Source organism: Homo sapiens, chromosome 1 (assembly GCF_000001405.40).
Source record: "Homo sapiens chromosome 1, GRCh38.p14 Primary Assembly".
Lineage (NCBI taxonomy): Eukaryota > Metazoa > Chordata > Mammalia > Primates > Hominidae > Homo > Homo sapiens.
The window spans coordinates 221,699,950-221,715,036 of NC_000001.11; the positions used below are offsets into that span (position 1 = coordinate 221,699,950).

Here is a 15,087-nt window from a genome sequence, read left to right on the forward strand (position 1 = left end):
TTTTCTCTGTTTTGTTAGAAAGAAAGAAAAAAGAGAGAGGGAAAGAGGGAAAGAGGCAAAGAGAGAAAGAGGGAAAGAGGGAAAGAGGCAAAGAGGGAAAGAGGGAAAGAGGCAAAGAGGGAATGAGGCAAAGTGGGAAAATGGGAAAGGGAAGGGAAGGGAGAGGGAATGGAAGGGAGAGGGAAGGGAAGGGAGAGGGAAGGGAAGGGAGAGGGAAGGGAAGGGAGAGGGAAGGGAAGAGGGAGGGAAGGAAAGAGGGAGGGAAGGAAAAGGAAGGGAGGGGAACAAAGAAAAAGCAGAAGGAAAGAAGGAAGGGACAGAGGGAGGCAATATACCTTACATGCTATCAGAAATTTAACACTTAGACTTAAAATAACAAAAAGAAATGTCTGCTAAATTACCATGTATTTTAAATCACTAATTATATATCAACCTCACTCCTTAAATACTCTAACACCAAGGAAATTGTTAGCCTGAGGAGTAGAAAGCACAAAGCAGAGATTTGCTTTTCACCTGATTAACACTTTCTATTAAAATAATCTAAAACAGCTGTTAATTCCTGTTAAATTCAGTCTCCACTTTTCTATAAAAGAAAAATTTAAATTATTTTTGGTAGAAAAGCTATTTTTTTAAATGTCAAAAATATTTCCTAACATTTTCAAGCCAACATACACAAAATTATTTATGTCAAATGTTGTCACATAGAATCCAACATGCCAGATTCTTCAACTCTTTTATTCACCCCAGGCAAATTTCAGTTTGCCATAAATCTTCCTTATGGCCAAGTCCCACTAGACTTTTAATTTAATGAAACACAGAAAATATTTGCATTGTGTTTTTCCCATACCCCCAACCCTCCATCAACAGTGAATTGGGAACCCAGCTATGCATTAACCCAGTGTTATAAGGAAGCTGTACACATGTATGGAGCTGAGTTTCAGTTTGCTGGGGAAAAGAGTAGGCAATAGCAATTTGCTGCAACGCATTACATGGTTAATGTCACCAAAGATGCCAAGTGAGCAAGTGACAATGGGGTGGGGGGGTGGGGGGAGGAACATCAAGATCCCTAAATGGAAGATTGTCCTAAGTATTTATCAAATAGCCACTAGGGAGATCACTGAATTCTCACCAATCAATCTGGCAGGGATTTGGTCACCAAGGCGCAAAGGCAGATGGGATCCCCTTAATGCAAGCCTTCCCCGATGCAAAAGGAATGATATTTGCAGGAGAGGATGACAGCATTGTGAGAATATAAGGGACAGTGACTGGGCAGATCAATACTGGAGCTCTTCCACTTCCTTGCTAACTCTGTTTCACAGTGAGAAAACTGGATATGTTCCCTTCCTCATCTCTCTTTCCCTATATAAAAATCTGTTTTATTTCAACTTTGTTGTATATGCAAGTTACCAGAGCTTAAGAAAGGCTTGAACCTGAGTTAAGGTAAAAGAGAGGGGAAAAAAAGACACATCCTAAACCAGTTTCATTTATATAATGAAAATAAATTTTTACACAATCAACAGAAACACACCAAGATTTTTTTTTTTTTTGCGAAAAATATTTTTAAATAAATTTTTTTTTCTTACATTCTGATATACATATGTAACAAGGTTTATGGCACTGTAACCAGAATCAAATCAGAAAAAAAAAAAAAAAAGGAAAAAGGTGGGAAGGAAAGTATTTGATATATTGTTGAATTCCTTTCTATCTCCAAGCTGGCAAATTTGCACTATTTGTCTATCATTCAGCTGCCAGCTCTAACTTGTTTGCACACTTAAAACATCATATTATTGCACAAGAAGCCAGTGAAGGCATATAATGGTCAGTTCCTCACTATTTCAAAAAAAATCTCTTAAACCCAGAGAAGGAAAAAAAAAAAAAATCCAGAGCATGAAACACACAAAATCAAAGGTATCCTTTTTCTCCTTAAAGAATGCCTGAAGGATTCTTAGACCACTTAAGCTGCCCTGATCTTCTCTTTGCACCAGTGAGCACAACAGGGCTTGGTTTGGTTGGGTTTTTGTTTTCTGTGTGGACAGCCCAGGTTGATCCCAGGCCTTGGTGATTCAATGTCTTTTCTATTTACTTTTGGTTCTTTTTAATTGGTTTAAAGTGTGTAGTATCTTCGGTCTATGAACCTGCACAGACTATTTAGTCATAAACTCTACAAATAGCTTAAAAGGAAAAGGGGGAGAAACAAGTTGTATTATATTTTTATTGTTGGCTTAAAAAAATTACTTCTTTAACCTCCTTAATTTGTCAGTTTGTGGGAGGTGAATCTCAATGGCATCAAAAGTTATAGTCTTCTTACACTTGTTAAAAATAAAGTGTTTAAACAAGTTTGTTTCCATTCACAAACTTACTCCCAACTACAAAAAAAAAAAGAAAGAAAAAAAACCAGAATCCATCCTCCTTCCTCATTGTCTCCTAATGGAGAGCAGCAATCCTTTCCATCCAGACCATTGTCACACAACCGTCTCCACGCCCATCAGCTTTGGTGTAAGGATTCTCGGTGTCACACCGTTGTTTAGGTCTTCCTCGAACTCTAGCAACTGCCCCATGAAGTTAAGGTTTGGGGAGATAATTGGTCGTTTGCCTTTGACAAATTTATAAGCATCAGTCATGGTCATCCGAGTGTGCTTCATCAAGTAAGCGATGACGATGGTGGCGGAGCGGGACACCCCAGCCTGGCAGTGGATGAGAAGCCCCTTCCCACACTGGTGAGCTTCCTCTGAAAAAAGGGAGAAAGACAAGAGATGAAGGGAAGATGGAAGAGAGAGGCACGGAGAGAGAAACTTTCATCTCAACTTTGCAATGCCTTATTTTGTATAGAAATAATGAATTAAAACAGTTTTAAAGCCAAGTATAATCCACTAGTTCATTACGTATACTTATGTCACAACTTCCAGAACTGGCTAAAGTTGATATCAGCACGAACAAGAAGCTATACATCTACATTTAAAGAGAAGATTAAATGAAAGAATTGCTCATAGGAACAGTTTGCTGCACAGGTGACAGCAGTGGCCGGAAGCCAGACCTATAACACAGTTAACTTTCACGTTGAACAAGCTACTGATCAAGTCGACTCTAACAGTCACTGAACCTTCTCTCAAATGTCTTGTTCTCTTTTTTTCTGGAATTACACTACTGAAAGAAAAAAAAAGAATGAAGGAAAAGGAGAGAGGAAGGGGAAAAATTATACACACACATGAAAATATACACTCACACATATATATGTATATGTATGTGTGTGTATGTGTGTGTGTGTGTGTGTATATATATATATATGCAGTTCCTCTTTGGATTAAGGATGTTAATTCCAATTTTCGGTTGTGTGACTTAACAAACCTAGTGCTAGTAACAACTCTCTCACTTGTAATAGAGAAAAAACACTTTCTTTATTCTATAGAATTGCTCTGTACAGGAACGGGCATTAAATGGATAAGAGTTTTAGTCTTACTAAACCCTGATTAAGGTTAAAGGAATAAAGCTTAACTAGGAAGATACTATGTTCAGCTTCTCCCCAGAAAATCCAGTTGTTGCAAAGTTAACTAAAGGCTAGTAGTATACAGGCCGAGGGTGTCACCTCTCAAGCATTCAATCCCGTTTGCTTCCATGTATGACATTCCAGTGTGGCAATAATGCAGAAGATGGAGGAATCCCAGCAATGGCTCAAAATCCAGAGCAATTGAAAGAGGAAGACTTGCTAAGTTTTCAAATATATTAAAAGCTCAGGACAATAGCATGTGGGCACTACCTGAACAGATTCTTAATGACATTTCTAGACTCTAACACATCCCTAAGAAAGCTTCCTTGAAGGAACACCAATTAGATAAACAGGTAGGGAAGGAGAAGGGGTAGAGAGAGTAGTGATTTCACCTAAACTACATCTACTGGCTACCCACCAGTGGACCAAGGAAAAAAAACCTGATGTAAATTTTCATCTTAAAAATTTACAGATGAAGTTTACTTCTCATAGTCAACAGTATTTCAAGAAAAGTAAGCATCTCTCTTTTTCAACTTTTTCCCTTCAGCACACGGTATTTAGCTCCAAGTCAAGACCAGAAAGCATGGTGGTGAGAGAATGAGCTTCTGAGTGCCTGGCTGGACCACCGGTTCCACTACACACACTTGATTCAGGAATAAATAAACTGGTATAAACACTAAACTTAGATGCTGCTCAGCTTATATTACACTCTCAGTGAAAGCTATTATGTTTATAAAACCTGCTGTGTTTTTACTAAAGCAAGACTGTAAGATTTCAGTTTATCCAATAATATAACAATGAAAATAAAATTGTGCCTATGCAGGTTGTGATATGGAGTTGTTCTTCGGGCTGAATGCTATTTGTTATTGGTTTTGTTTTCCTTAAAAAAAAAAAAAAAAAGGCAGGTAAGCCTGAATAATCTATAAGGAATGTGAGAAGGAGCTTTAGTTGAAATCCTCTTAGAACAAGTATATCTTACCCTACTCATTAAATAGAAAACAATTTCCTAACTTCCTCCAACTGGAGTTAAGTCAGATGGAATCTCAGTCATAACATCACATCATGTATCAACCAGAAGTTCCTCATATGCTTGTTGAGAAATTTTTCTTCCTCAGCGCTCCAGGTTTGGCTCAGATTTTATTAATAAAGAATCTGCAGTATCTCTGCATCCTCAGTGTTGCCAGTTGGGAATTACTTAATAGGGCATCATAAACATTGCCTTAGTGTGTTGTGAAAAGGCCTCAGGCTTGGGAGTCAAAAACCCTGGATTCTGGCCCCTTCTTGGACACTAGAATTCCTATGACCTTGAAGAAGTCACTTTACTTCTCTAAGTTCAGTGATCACCCTGAATTTCCTTTCAGACTCAATATTCCATGGTCCTGTGCTGACGGCATAATTAGCAAGGAAAACAGCTTGGCAAAATGACCAGAGATGTCAACACTACAGCAAATCCACCAGACCCCACTGGCTGTTAAACCTGAGGCTGTTTTTTTCTTTCTCTGACAAAGGAACACCCCACTCCACTTAACTGTATTCTTCCTGGAATAACAACCTGCTGTAATATTTAGGAAAAGTACTAGGCCACCCCTTTATGGTAATAAAAGTTGAAGTTACGTAAAAAAAAATAAATGTTGAGTTTTGCTATATTGCAGGTGCTCCCAAAATGATATTTTGAGTGTTTTTTTTTTTTTTTGAGACAGAGTTTCACTGTTGTTGCCCAGGCTGGAGTGCAGTGGCGTGATCTCAGCTCACTGCAACCTCCGCTTCCCAGGCTCAAGCGATTCTCCTGCCTCAGCCTCCTGAGTAGCTGGGATTACAGGCATGCACCACCACGCCTGGCTAATTTTGTATTTTTTTAGTAGAGATGGAGTTTCTCCATGTTGGTCAGGCTGGTCTCAAACTCCTGACCTCAGGTGATCCACCCGCCTCGGCCTCCCAATGTGCTGGGATTACAGGCATGAGCCACCGCGCCCGGCGATATTTTGAGTCTTATAGCAGTTTGGGGCTATAGAAGTTGCAGAAATTAAGATTAGGATTAGGCTAATAGTTGCTTCCTTCTGGGGATCAAAGCGTGCTGTTGCTAAAACTTCCTCCTTGGGAACTACTCCGTCTACACAACCTGATCTTTCCTAGTTCAATGAGTTTGGGGCAGACTGTCAAAGGAAACCTAGTACCATCTCCCCTTATGCTGGATGAATAAGGCTTAGTAGGGTGACCGGAAGGCATAGGTATGTTTGGAAGGGGTGTCATATTCACTAGATATTGCTTCCAAGGTGCTCAACGGCGCTAGTAGATCAAGTAGCAGTAGCACCAGCTCTGACCTCCGATTCCTTACTTTCCATCCACTTTTCTGGTTACAGAGCACATAAATGCTAACCCCTACCACTATTTCACTGAGAACTTGAGGGATGAGGATTTCTAGTTGAACAGATCCCAACAAATTCAATTACTGTCCTTTTATATCCATCCTGATGGCTTGGATACACTCGACAGGCTATGACTTAGGAGAATGCTTAGGCTGTTTCAGGTGGCAGAGCCCTCCAAAACTCCAGGGCAGCTTTTCTTTTCCAACACAGGAATAAACCTTGAACTTGATATCAAAGCAAGAGCTGGAGGGAAAAGGAAGGCAGCGGATGAAAATTCCCTATGGGAGATAGTTACCAATGAACTCAAAAGCCTCTTCAAAGTACTGCCGCAGGTTCTGCTTGTTGCTGTCAGTGGCTGGCAGCCGCTTGTAGTTGAACAGGCCTTTCTCATAGTGGTAGAGGGGAAGATGAGTGGTGACGTTGATGACGTAGCCGATGTTCAGCCGCTGCATGGTGTCCAGGTCCTGAGCATCCTGCTCATTGCCAAGGAACAGGAAGGGCAAGATGGGGGTGAGCTCAGCGTTCTCGATGTCAGGGGTGGTGGGGATGGGCTGAGGTAGCAAGCTCGAGGCCGCGGATGCGCCGCCCCCCACCTCCCGGCACTCTTGGAGCTGGAGGGAGTTGTCACAGAGGTTTTCATGGTTCTGCTTAAAACTACTAAGTCCACCTAGAACACAAACACAGAAGGTGAGTGTGACTGAGATTTCAGAGCTGGCAGAGAATGCCACCTCCCCATTAGAATGAGTTTGCATTGTAGCTCATGCATATTTTAAATACATATATAAATATGTATTTAAGCAAAAAAAATAAAAATAAAAATAAAACAAAACAAAACAAAAACTAAAAGTCCATTTGGAGACCCAAGACAAGCTTCGGGGAGTATCACTGCATGGAACACTTTGGAAATGTGCTCTTTCTACAAATGAGGGCATGTTCCCCTAGCAAGAGTTCCACGCGGCATCAGGCAATCTTCCTCAGCTGCAAATGTGACCTGCCTCAAAGAGCCATATGCTCAGTGGCCTACATAGAACCCTGTGCTTTGGGAGCCAAGAAAGGCACAGATGACCTCCTCGGGTGGAATCTCAGCACCACAGGAGCATGTCTTGCACCCTTCATAGCTCACCTCACCCAGAGGGACAAGTTTGCTCCCAATACAGCAGAGTGGTTACAAGCAGGAACATTGGAAGAGACAGGTTATCTTGATTATAATCTGGGTACCATCATTTCCTGACACTATTACTTAAGTTCATTTATCTCTGTGCTTCAGTTCCACCATCTGTAAACTGAGGGTGATGGTGTCTCCCTTTGAGTGCAATTGTGAGCCTGAGATAAATGAATACGTGTAAAATACTTAGCACATCTCCTGGCACACAGTAGAACTCAGCAGGCATTCACTATTTTAATTTATATTATTTATATGATTGCCCACAGGTGAAATCAGCAGAGAAGTACTTGGAAAAGACAAGCCAGGGTGGGGTGTGAAGGACTGCTCTTATAATCTTTTTTGATATTCTCCACGTAGGGCCCTGACATTTATCAACCCTGACTTTCAGTAGAACAGAATGTGAGAGCAGCGCGGTTGCTTACTCCTCGACTTTCCAAGGCTTGTGGGCACATAAACCCATCAAGAAACCTCTTTTGGATGTGTGAATGCATGCTTTTGAGCTTACGGCTCTGCTCTGCCTCCCACGAGTTATGGGTCTAGTATAAAAAGCTTATAAACTGTGCTTATTTCTCCATTTTTAAAATGCAAACCTTCCCCTGAACAAGTGCAATCTCACTTTTGGGAATGGATCTTAGGGAAATCATCTAACCAAAGATAGTTAGCTAGATATATGGAGATGTTCACTACAATGTTATCTGTTTTATATATATTTTAAAAAGGCCAAGTAAAACACAAAAATAAAAGAAAAAAAGTTATTACATTCATTCCACGGAGTATTATGTAGCCTTTAAAAGAGTAGTTGCAAAAAGGATGTGAAAATAAATAAAACATTTTGGTTTAATATTAAATTTTTTAAAAGCTAAGTAAAAAACATTGACCAAAAGCTGAAGAACTGTACAAAAAACGAACAATTGTTTAAATTAGGGAATTTACGGATCATAGTTTATTGTTTAAATTTTCTGCTAATATTTTTACACACAATGGCATGCACAGATAAACCCAAAGGATTATTACAAAGCTCAAATTATAATAATATACATGTAAGTGCTATAAAATCTGGATTGACATTATTAGTGCCAACTGAGCTCTAACCCTACTCAAACAGAACTAGATACACTCTGGCTTTCCCTTTGAAAAGAGGGGGAAGTGGAAAAGTCCTATTAGCTGAAAGCCACCAGAACACAACATCTACCCTCAAAGACAGATGGCTTGTGGCTGTCTTGATAGTTCCAGGAGATAAGGCAGAAAACCCAAAGCATGAACAAGAGACGGTTATGTTGCAATAAGGACAGGAAGTCTATCTGTCCACTAGCCTCTGAGCCTGGCATATGTTCTTCTCCATTTCAAGTCTCATCTTTGACAAACCACAGCGGGAAACTCCAGACCATAACCTAGACCGAGTCTCATGACTTTTCACAACCAATGGACCCGGAGCTGGCTGTGTAAAAGAGAGAAATCATATTTTCCTTAAGGTATGGTTATGATCCAAAGAAAACTCAAAGGGCAATATTATGTTCACTTTACTCATTGAAAGTAAGAAGTCAAAACCTACCCTAGCTTTTTGAAAAGAAAAACAAGAGCTATATACGAATTTCAGTTGATTTCTAGAATTAACCTCTGCCCTTACATATGATAGTTTATTCTGCTAGGCAATTATGACAATAAAGTTTGAACCTGAAGAGATAATTCTGAAGTAGAAGAAAGAAAATATGGAAAATAACTTCACCAGTGAAGACTTAAAAAATAAATAAGATAAAAACTACCCATTGTCATCATCACAGCCTCCACAAAAGGGATTCTGAAGAGTTAAAATCTGCTCAGCTTCGCCTCCACAAAAACCCAAATTCCACACAGATTCTGTGATGGGAACCTAATTCACTTTTTTCTTCAAAAAAGGCAGTTGTTACATTTTTCCATATAAGATGAGAGGGAAGAACAATAAAACAAATTCAAAAGAAGGCTCTAAAAGCAGGGGAAAAACCTCTCTGTTCTTATTTAGGGTACTCAAGCTGTAATTTGTCTTAAAAGCAGCTAGTTTAAAAAAAAAAAAAAAAACCAACACATGCTAGAAAACCCCACACACAGAAAAAAGCAGCGTCCAGCTTTTTAAAATTCTGCCTCTACACCTCCTTTCTCAATGACATCAGCTGGAGGCTCCCCACCTGCCCAGTTGCCATAGCAGTTACACAAAGACATACAATGACATCAGTTGGCATGATATCAGCTCTTTGAGTGCAAACAATACAAGAAGAACTACTTTGTTTAAGGCCTTTGGTGCAACTGTGTTCTGGGGAGCCAATGATGTAATGCTAACAGGTGGCATGGGCCTTCCATTTGCCTAATGGGGGGAAAAAAACCCGTGGCGGAGTGGGGGGAGGAGGGAATTTGAGACAGACACACAGAATGCTCCAAATCACAGAGCATGCTTATGTGCAAAAGTATGGGTGCATTGTATGTTTAAGCCATGTAGGAACTCTGTTCTTATAATATTTGGAGGTGGGAGGGGTGGGGGTGGAGAGAAAAGGAGATATTACAATTTAAACATATAAGGTAAACAAGGAAATTCTCCTTGAGGGGTCTGAAGAAATAGTCTCCTGTTCAACTGCCACTCTGCTAATCAACTTGGGCATCAGTTTTCCATAAGGCTTATGCACAGCTCTGTACTGCAGTTAAAAACTCTCTCTGTGGACGGTGCTTAAAGTAAAAAACAACGAGTGGAAGCTCACAGTGGTGGCTTTTTCCAGAGAAGTCTGCAGGAAGGATTGTTTTCTTCTCTTGGGGAAGGGTTGAAATTGAAATCTGGAGGGGAGGGGGAAGAGTAAAGCTAATCTGGTTTTTCTTTTCCAGTTACTTTCCTCCGACCCTACCCCATCAAGTATCACCAGAGGCCAAAGTGACTGATCACTTAATGAGGAACCCTGATGATGTTATGTTTATTACTATTTAAGAATATTAGAACATGATAATTAACAAACAAAGCAGGAGCAGTGTAGCATGGAGGTTAAGAGCAAAGGTCAGAGACAAACCACACCTAGCTGCAGTTATGATTCTGCCTCCTAGCAGCTGTGAGACCCTGTGCAAGTCAGGTTCCCTCATTAAGCCTCAGTTTACCAATCTATTAAGTGGATGTAATATCATCTACCCATCAGGGTCATAGTTCAGGAAGCCTATGTAAAGGTTTTGATACACGACCAGGTATTCGATAAATAATGTCTTATTACCCCCAATATCATCACCTTTGTTCTAAATTCCAACAGATCTATGCACACGCATAGTCCATGAGAGCCCTAAGTGCAGTGCAGTGATTCAGAGAAGGAGTATTGAGGCTGGACTTCTTGGGTTTGAATCCCCAGCACAGCCAAACACTAGCTATGAGACCCTGGGCAGGTTTCTCACCTGTCTGTTCCTCAGTTTCCCTGTATACAAAACAGGGATAACAATAGTACCTACCTCACTGTACTGTTGTAATGATTAAAGTGGTTAATAAAGTACCTTAAAACAATGTCCAGCACATTGTAAGTGCTTTTTCTTTTCATCACTTTGGGAAACTACCATTTTAAAGATCTAAAAAAAAAAAAATCTGCTTAATATAAAGACTCTATATAAGTAAACTAATGTTCCTGAGTTTTTACTTTTAAAATTTTATTTAACAAAAAAGAATTAGGAACCAAGGTATCCGAGCAGTTTTAAAGTTTGCAAAACATACTTTTAACATAAAGAAAGCAACAGCTCCCTATTTTTCCTAAACAAATATATCTGATTTCACTTTGTTGGTCCTAGCTTTCCTAACAAACACTGTCTTTGCATTTCTGGTTTTTCCACAGAATTGGATTTTGAAAATAAAACTGTTCTTCCCTCCTTCTTCCTTTCCTCTAATTTCTACCAAGGTGGCTAACTTCCTTATGTGCACAAGAGCCTGCAGTTATTAGTGCGAACATATTGTAGCCATGAGCAACAATGCTGGGGTAGGGTGAGGCAAGGCGGGGTGGGGGGGCAGCAAACATTTTCAAAGCTTATGTCAAAAGTAGGTTCTCTGCCAAAATGAGTATGGTCAGTACATTGATTCTAAATGGCAGCAACAAAGAATACCTAGCACCCCTAAAGAACTATATGTGGAAATACTGCCTGCCAGTTTCTTCTAACACACGGTCAGTTCAGTGACAGTCCTACTGAAGCAATGGATTCTAGTTTTAGTGGGAAACTTCTCTTTATAGATGCATTTCAGCTCCTGTTGCTGTTTTGGCGACTGCAGTCCTAGAAACAGAAGAGTCCTCTGTAATGTGATTCAGAAGCAATGCGCTGGGTTGTGAGTTAAAGAAACCACATCCAAATGCAGAATCTATAAGCAAGAGATTTTTATACTCTAAAGGTGGACAGCCCTTTTTGGTCTTATGCTAAGCTAGAAAGTGAGCTGTTTCCAGAAATTTAAGGAACACTCTCACTGAAGGTCAGCAAACAGAAGTAATGTCCAAAGACCAGGGGGAGGGGTGTAGGCTAAAATTGGACTCTTCTACAGTTTGCTATAAGCATATTGATCACCCCTCTCTGTTGCCTAGTTTTTCTTACTGAGTAACCAGTCTTTTAAAGTAAAACAGTACCTTGATGATAGTGGTTAAGATCATAGACTGGAGCCAGATTGCTTGAGTTAAAACTCCTGACTCCTATCACTTACCTTGTAACCTTGAGCAAGTTATTGATGTCTCTGCATCTCAGTTTACATATCTGTGACTTGTAATATAATAATTTCTATCTCACAGAGCTCTCAATATGGATAAAATGCTACATGAGAGTTAGGTGTTTTATTATAAGTGGGAGAGACATTGCTGTAAGTTGCATACTATTTTGTTTATACCAGGAACAGATGGATGCTATGATATACTCCATGGAAACAGAACATCAGAGCCACTCAAGATTCTATAAGCACAAGAATCTGTGGAAGAACAAAGCCTGGATGAACTGGAGCTGATGTCAGGCTGCCAAGGCTGAAATCTTCTTCAAAGACAGGGTCAGAGTCACTTCATAAGTTTCAGGGCAGAATATCACCTATCTTAACAGGAGAAACATGTGGGGTGGTGGTGGGTACCAGCTCGATCCACAAAGATTATTTCTACTTCTTGTTTTCTATGAAATGTTCTTTATACTCCATAGATGTGATTGGGTATTTTACAGTAGGAATTGGGTATTTTACAGTAGGGTATTTTCAAGTTCAAGATGAAAATCATTCCTACTGTAAAATACCCAAGGAAGTATTACTTAAATTGTCTTAGGATCTTGCCCCCAGGGAACTTGTATTTCTTTCCCAAGAAGAGTAAAGGGAGGCCCTATCAAACAGAGGCAGAGAGAGTTGAATGGGAGTGCTGTCTCACTAGGTATAAGGTATGAAACAAGAGATAAAGAAGTATTTATCTTACTCAGGGGAAGAAAGAGATTTAGGAGGCTGACTATGAGTCAGAGAGAAGTCTTCTTATGATCACGTCATTTGACTGCTTCCCTCAAACCAGTGTGGTCTGGCTTACATGTGAGATGCCTTATGTTTGAAAAGACATAAACAAGGAAGTATCACAAGCTTAAAATACACACATATACATAAAACTTCAGATATACTCATATAACATAATGGGATCTTGAATCCCATTGAGTACCCATCCACATTATTTGGCTTGCTATATTATTAAGTCTTTTAGGAAGATATATCTAAAAATAAGTTAGTCCCTCCATTCATGGGTTTTTCCTGTGTGAAGGAGACACAGTTATCTACAGATATATCTTAAAAGCCAACTCTAGAAAAGACAGTGGATGATATATAAAGCAGCAAAAAAAAAAAAAAAAAAAAAAAGAGCTTTGCCTTGGATTTAGAATAGTGGGTCTGCCACATGCCAAGTGTGTGACTTTTTGAAAGTTATTGAAGTATTCTGGGCTATCTTTCCATAACTATAAAATAGGATACTACTACTTAGGTCTGTCGTAATGATTCAATGATTTTGTGTGTACAATAGCCATCCTGGTATTTTAAGAAGGCATTCAAACCCTGCAGCTATTTGAATGACTGTCAAATGGAGCAGCAAAGCTAACTAGCACTGGAGGTAGTCAGATGCAGGAAGATGACCAGAGACTACAGGGGTCAATGTCAGTGTTGCTAGAGATGAACTTTTGATGCTGGTACAGTTGCTTCAGAGCAGTAGGAAAAGGAGACCATCCTGCAGAGGCAACCCCATGCAAGGGCATCACCAGAGAGGGAGGACAAAGCAGGAGCCATGAGGACAGCCCACTGTAGCTCTGCTCTGCTAAAAGTGTACTCAGTGCTGTTAGCCTAGTCTACACTCCATCACTGCCGGAGGAAGTGGCATGCAGAGTGGGGGTTGGGGCTGGTGGTTAGTGTGGTCTCCCTTGAAAACCTCATTATATTTAGTTCTTTATGTCTACGATTTTCAGAAGCCTTGAAAAAAAAGACATTTTTTAGGCATATCGAATAGCCAAAAATACATTTCTGGTATATTCTCTAAAAATATATGCATACTTCTAGAAATTTTTGAAATGGACGTACAGAAAAGTTATCACACACACAACTTTTTCATACCTCAATTTCCTCAATAAGTTGAGGTGTTTACAGTTTTTCTCAGAGTCATTCTATAAAAACTTAGTTTCAACAACTTATTATATGTATACATGCAGCCTCATTCTACAACTATAACTGCATTATTAATACATATTCTTTTAAAATGTATTTTCCTTTCTGTGTATATCCAGATTAAGAGCTTTAATAGAATTTAGGTCCTTGGAGAGCAGGACTAGTCTTATTTAAATCCCTTTGTACACAGGAATTAGCCCCAAGTCACATGAAGACAGGTGACTGCTGATATGTTAGATACCAATAGGAGCTACAGGGAAAGAGGTATTGAGATAGGTGGTCAATTTCTTTTTGGAAATAATTTACAAAAACTTAATAAAATAAAAAGATCTTCCTGGTGTTTTCCTAGTGATAAATGATAGGCTGAAATCATTTCCAGAATAGCCCTCCCAAAACTATCTTCCAATAATAAAAGTTGTTCATTTTTATTTAGTTCATCTAACCAAGTAGTATTTAGTAATGTTTTAAGAGAAAAAAAAATTCTGAAAAGTTGATACCAGAATTTGCCTGAATTTTGAGTTAACAATAGTCTTTTCTTTGGATTGTCTGGACAAAACAACATAATATAGAATACTGAGGCTTACATGAAATAGACATTGCTTGAGTTGTCATCGTATAGTAACTTTGGTATCATAGTGATACAGGAGTTAAGAAGAAATTACTTAGGCAGATAGTGAGGGTACAGAAGTCCTCCGTAACGTTTTCCTTTTAATGAAAAGCAGCCCCAAATCATTTTCAACAGAGAGCAGCCTGTAAAGTTGAGCTGCAGACACAGACAAGCAAACTGAGAGCTCGCACGTGTGGATGCCAGCAGGAAAGAATTACCTGCGACTAGACATGTTCAAAATGGCGGCTCCATCTTCCCTTCTCTGCCGGCCACGTGTACAGTAAGGAGCAGACAAGATGGCGCCAGGCAAGGGGAGAGTTCATTTGCATAATAAGATTAGGGTGGGGTGACCAGCCTCCCCTGAGTGCTGTGTAAACCTCACACCTGATCAAACCAATCTGTGAGCCCTATGTAAATCAGATACTGCCTCCTCAAGCCAGACTATAAAATCTGGCACATCCACCACCAGTCGGCCTTTTTCCTCTGGGAAGTCACCTCTCTCTCACTAAAGAGCGAGCTGTTTTCCTTTCCCTTTCTTTTGCCTATTAAACCTCTGCTTCTAAACTCCTCTTGTGTGTCTATGTCCTAAATTTTCTTGGTGTGAGACAACGAACCCCGGTTATTTAACCCAGACAAGGTAGCCACTTCAATAGTTACTATTGTTTCTCTCAGATGATGTGCCATTCCCTCCCACCCCAACGTTAAAAAAAACCCAGCATTCCAGAAAGAAGCTAATACTTGACAATGACACTTACCAAGAACTAAAACAGTCACTTTCGCTACTTCCTAATCTTTGTATAATTAGCAGTGTGCTTTCTTCTCCATTTTTTGTTCCAT

The 15,087-nt window shown here is 39.7% G+C and overlaps 1 protein-coding gene across 4 annotated transcripts in view, besides 3 other annotated features; it reads right to left on the minus strand.

Moving 5' to 3' along the window:
• Positions 1 to 1,474: 1,474 nt before the first annotated feature.
• The window catches only part of DUSP10 (dual specificity phosphatase 10), a 40,666-nt gene continuing 27,053 nt past the window's right edge, over positions 1,475 to 15,087 (minus strand). For 3 of the 4 annotated variants that reach the window (NR_111940.2, NR_111939.2, NM_007207.6), the window contains 2 exons: positions 6,146 to 6,517; positions 1,475 to 2,728 (listed from right to left, as the gene is read on the minus strand). Coding sequence is in view for 2 of the 4 variants with exons in the window: in NM_007207.6 (NP_009138.1) it covers positions 2,463 to 2,728; positions 6,146 to 6,517 (638 nt within the window). In the remaining 2 variants the exon portion in view is untranslated. Of the gene's footprint in view, positions 2,729 to 6,145; positions 6,518 to 14,227; positions 14,487 to 15,087 lie in introns of those variants that run through there. The other variant, XM_047442948.1, reaches the window with a different exon arrangement.
• Positions 8,060 to 8,169: an enhancer, noted in NCBI's record as "active region_2559". NCBI's record gives its function as "activates an Ori minimal core promoter by ATAC-STARR-seq in GM12878 lymphoblastoid cells {active_cell/tissue: GM12878}" and the evidence as "EXISTENCE:reporter gene assay evidence [ECO:0000049][PMID:35858748]".
• Positions 12,403 to 12,582: an enhancer, noted in NCBI's record as "active region_2560". NCBI's record gives its function as "activates an Ori minimal core promoter by ATAC-STARR-seq in GM12878 lymphoblastoid cells {active_cell/tissue: GM12878}" and the evidence as "EXISTENCE:reporter gene assay evidence [ECO:0000049][PMID:35858748]".
• Positions 13,779 to 14,978: an enhancer, noted in NCBI's record as "CDK7 strongly-dependent group 2 enhancer chr1:221887070-221888269 (GRCh37/hg19 assembly coordinates)". NCBI's record gives its function as "activates an origin of replication core promoter dependent on BRD2, BRD4, P300/CBP, MED14 and CDK7 cofactors, with strong dependence on CDK7, by STARR-seq in HCT116 cells {active_cell/tissue: HCT116}" and the evidence as "EXISTENCE:reporter gene assay evidence [ECO:0000049][PMID:35650434]".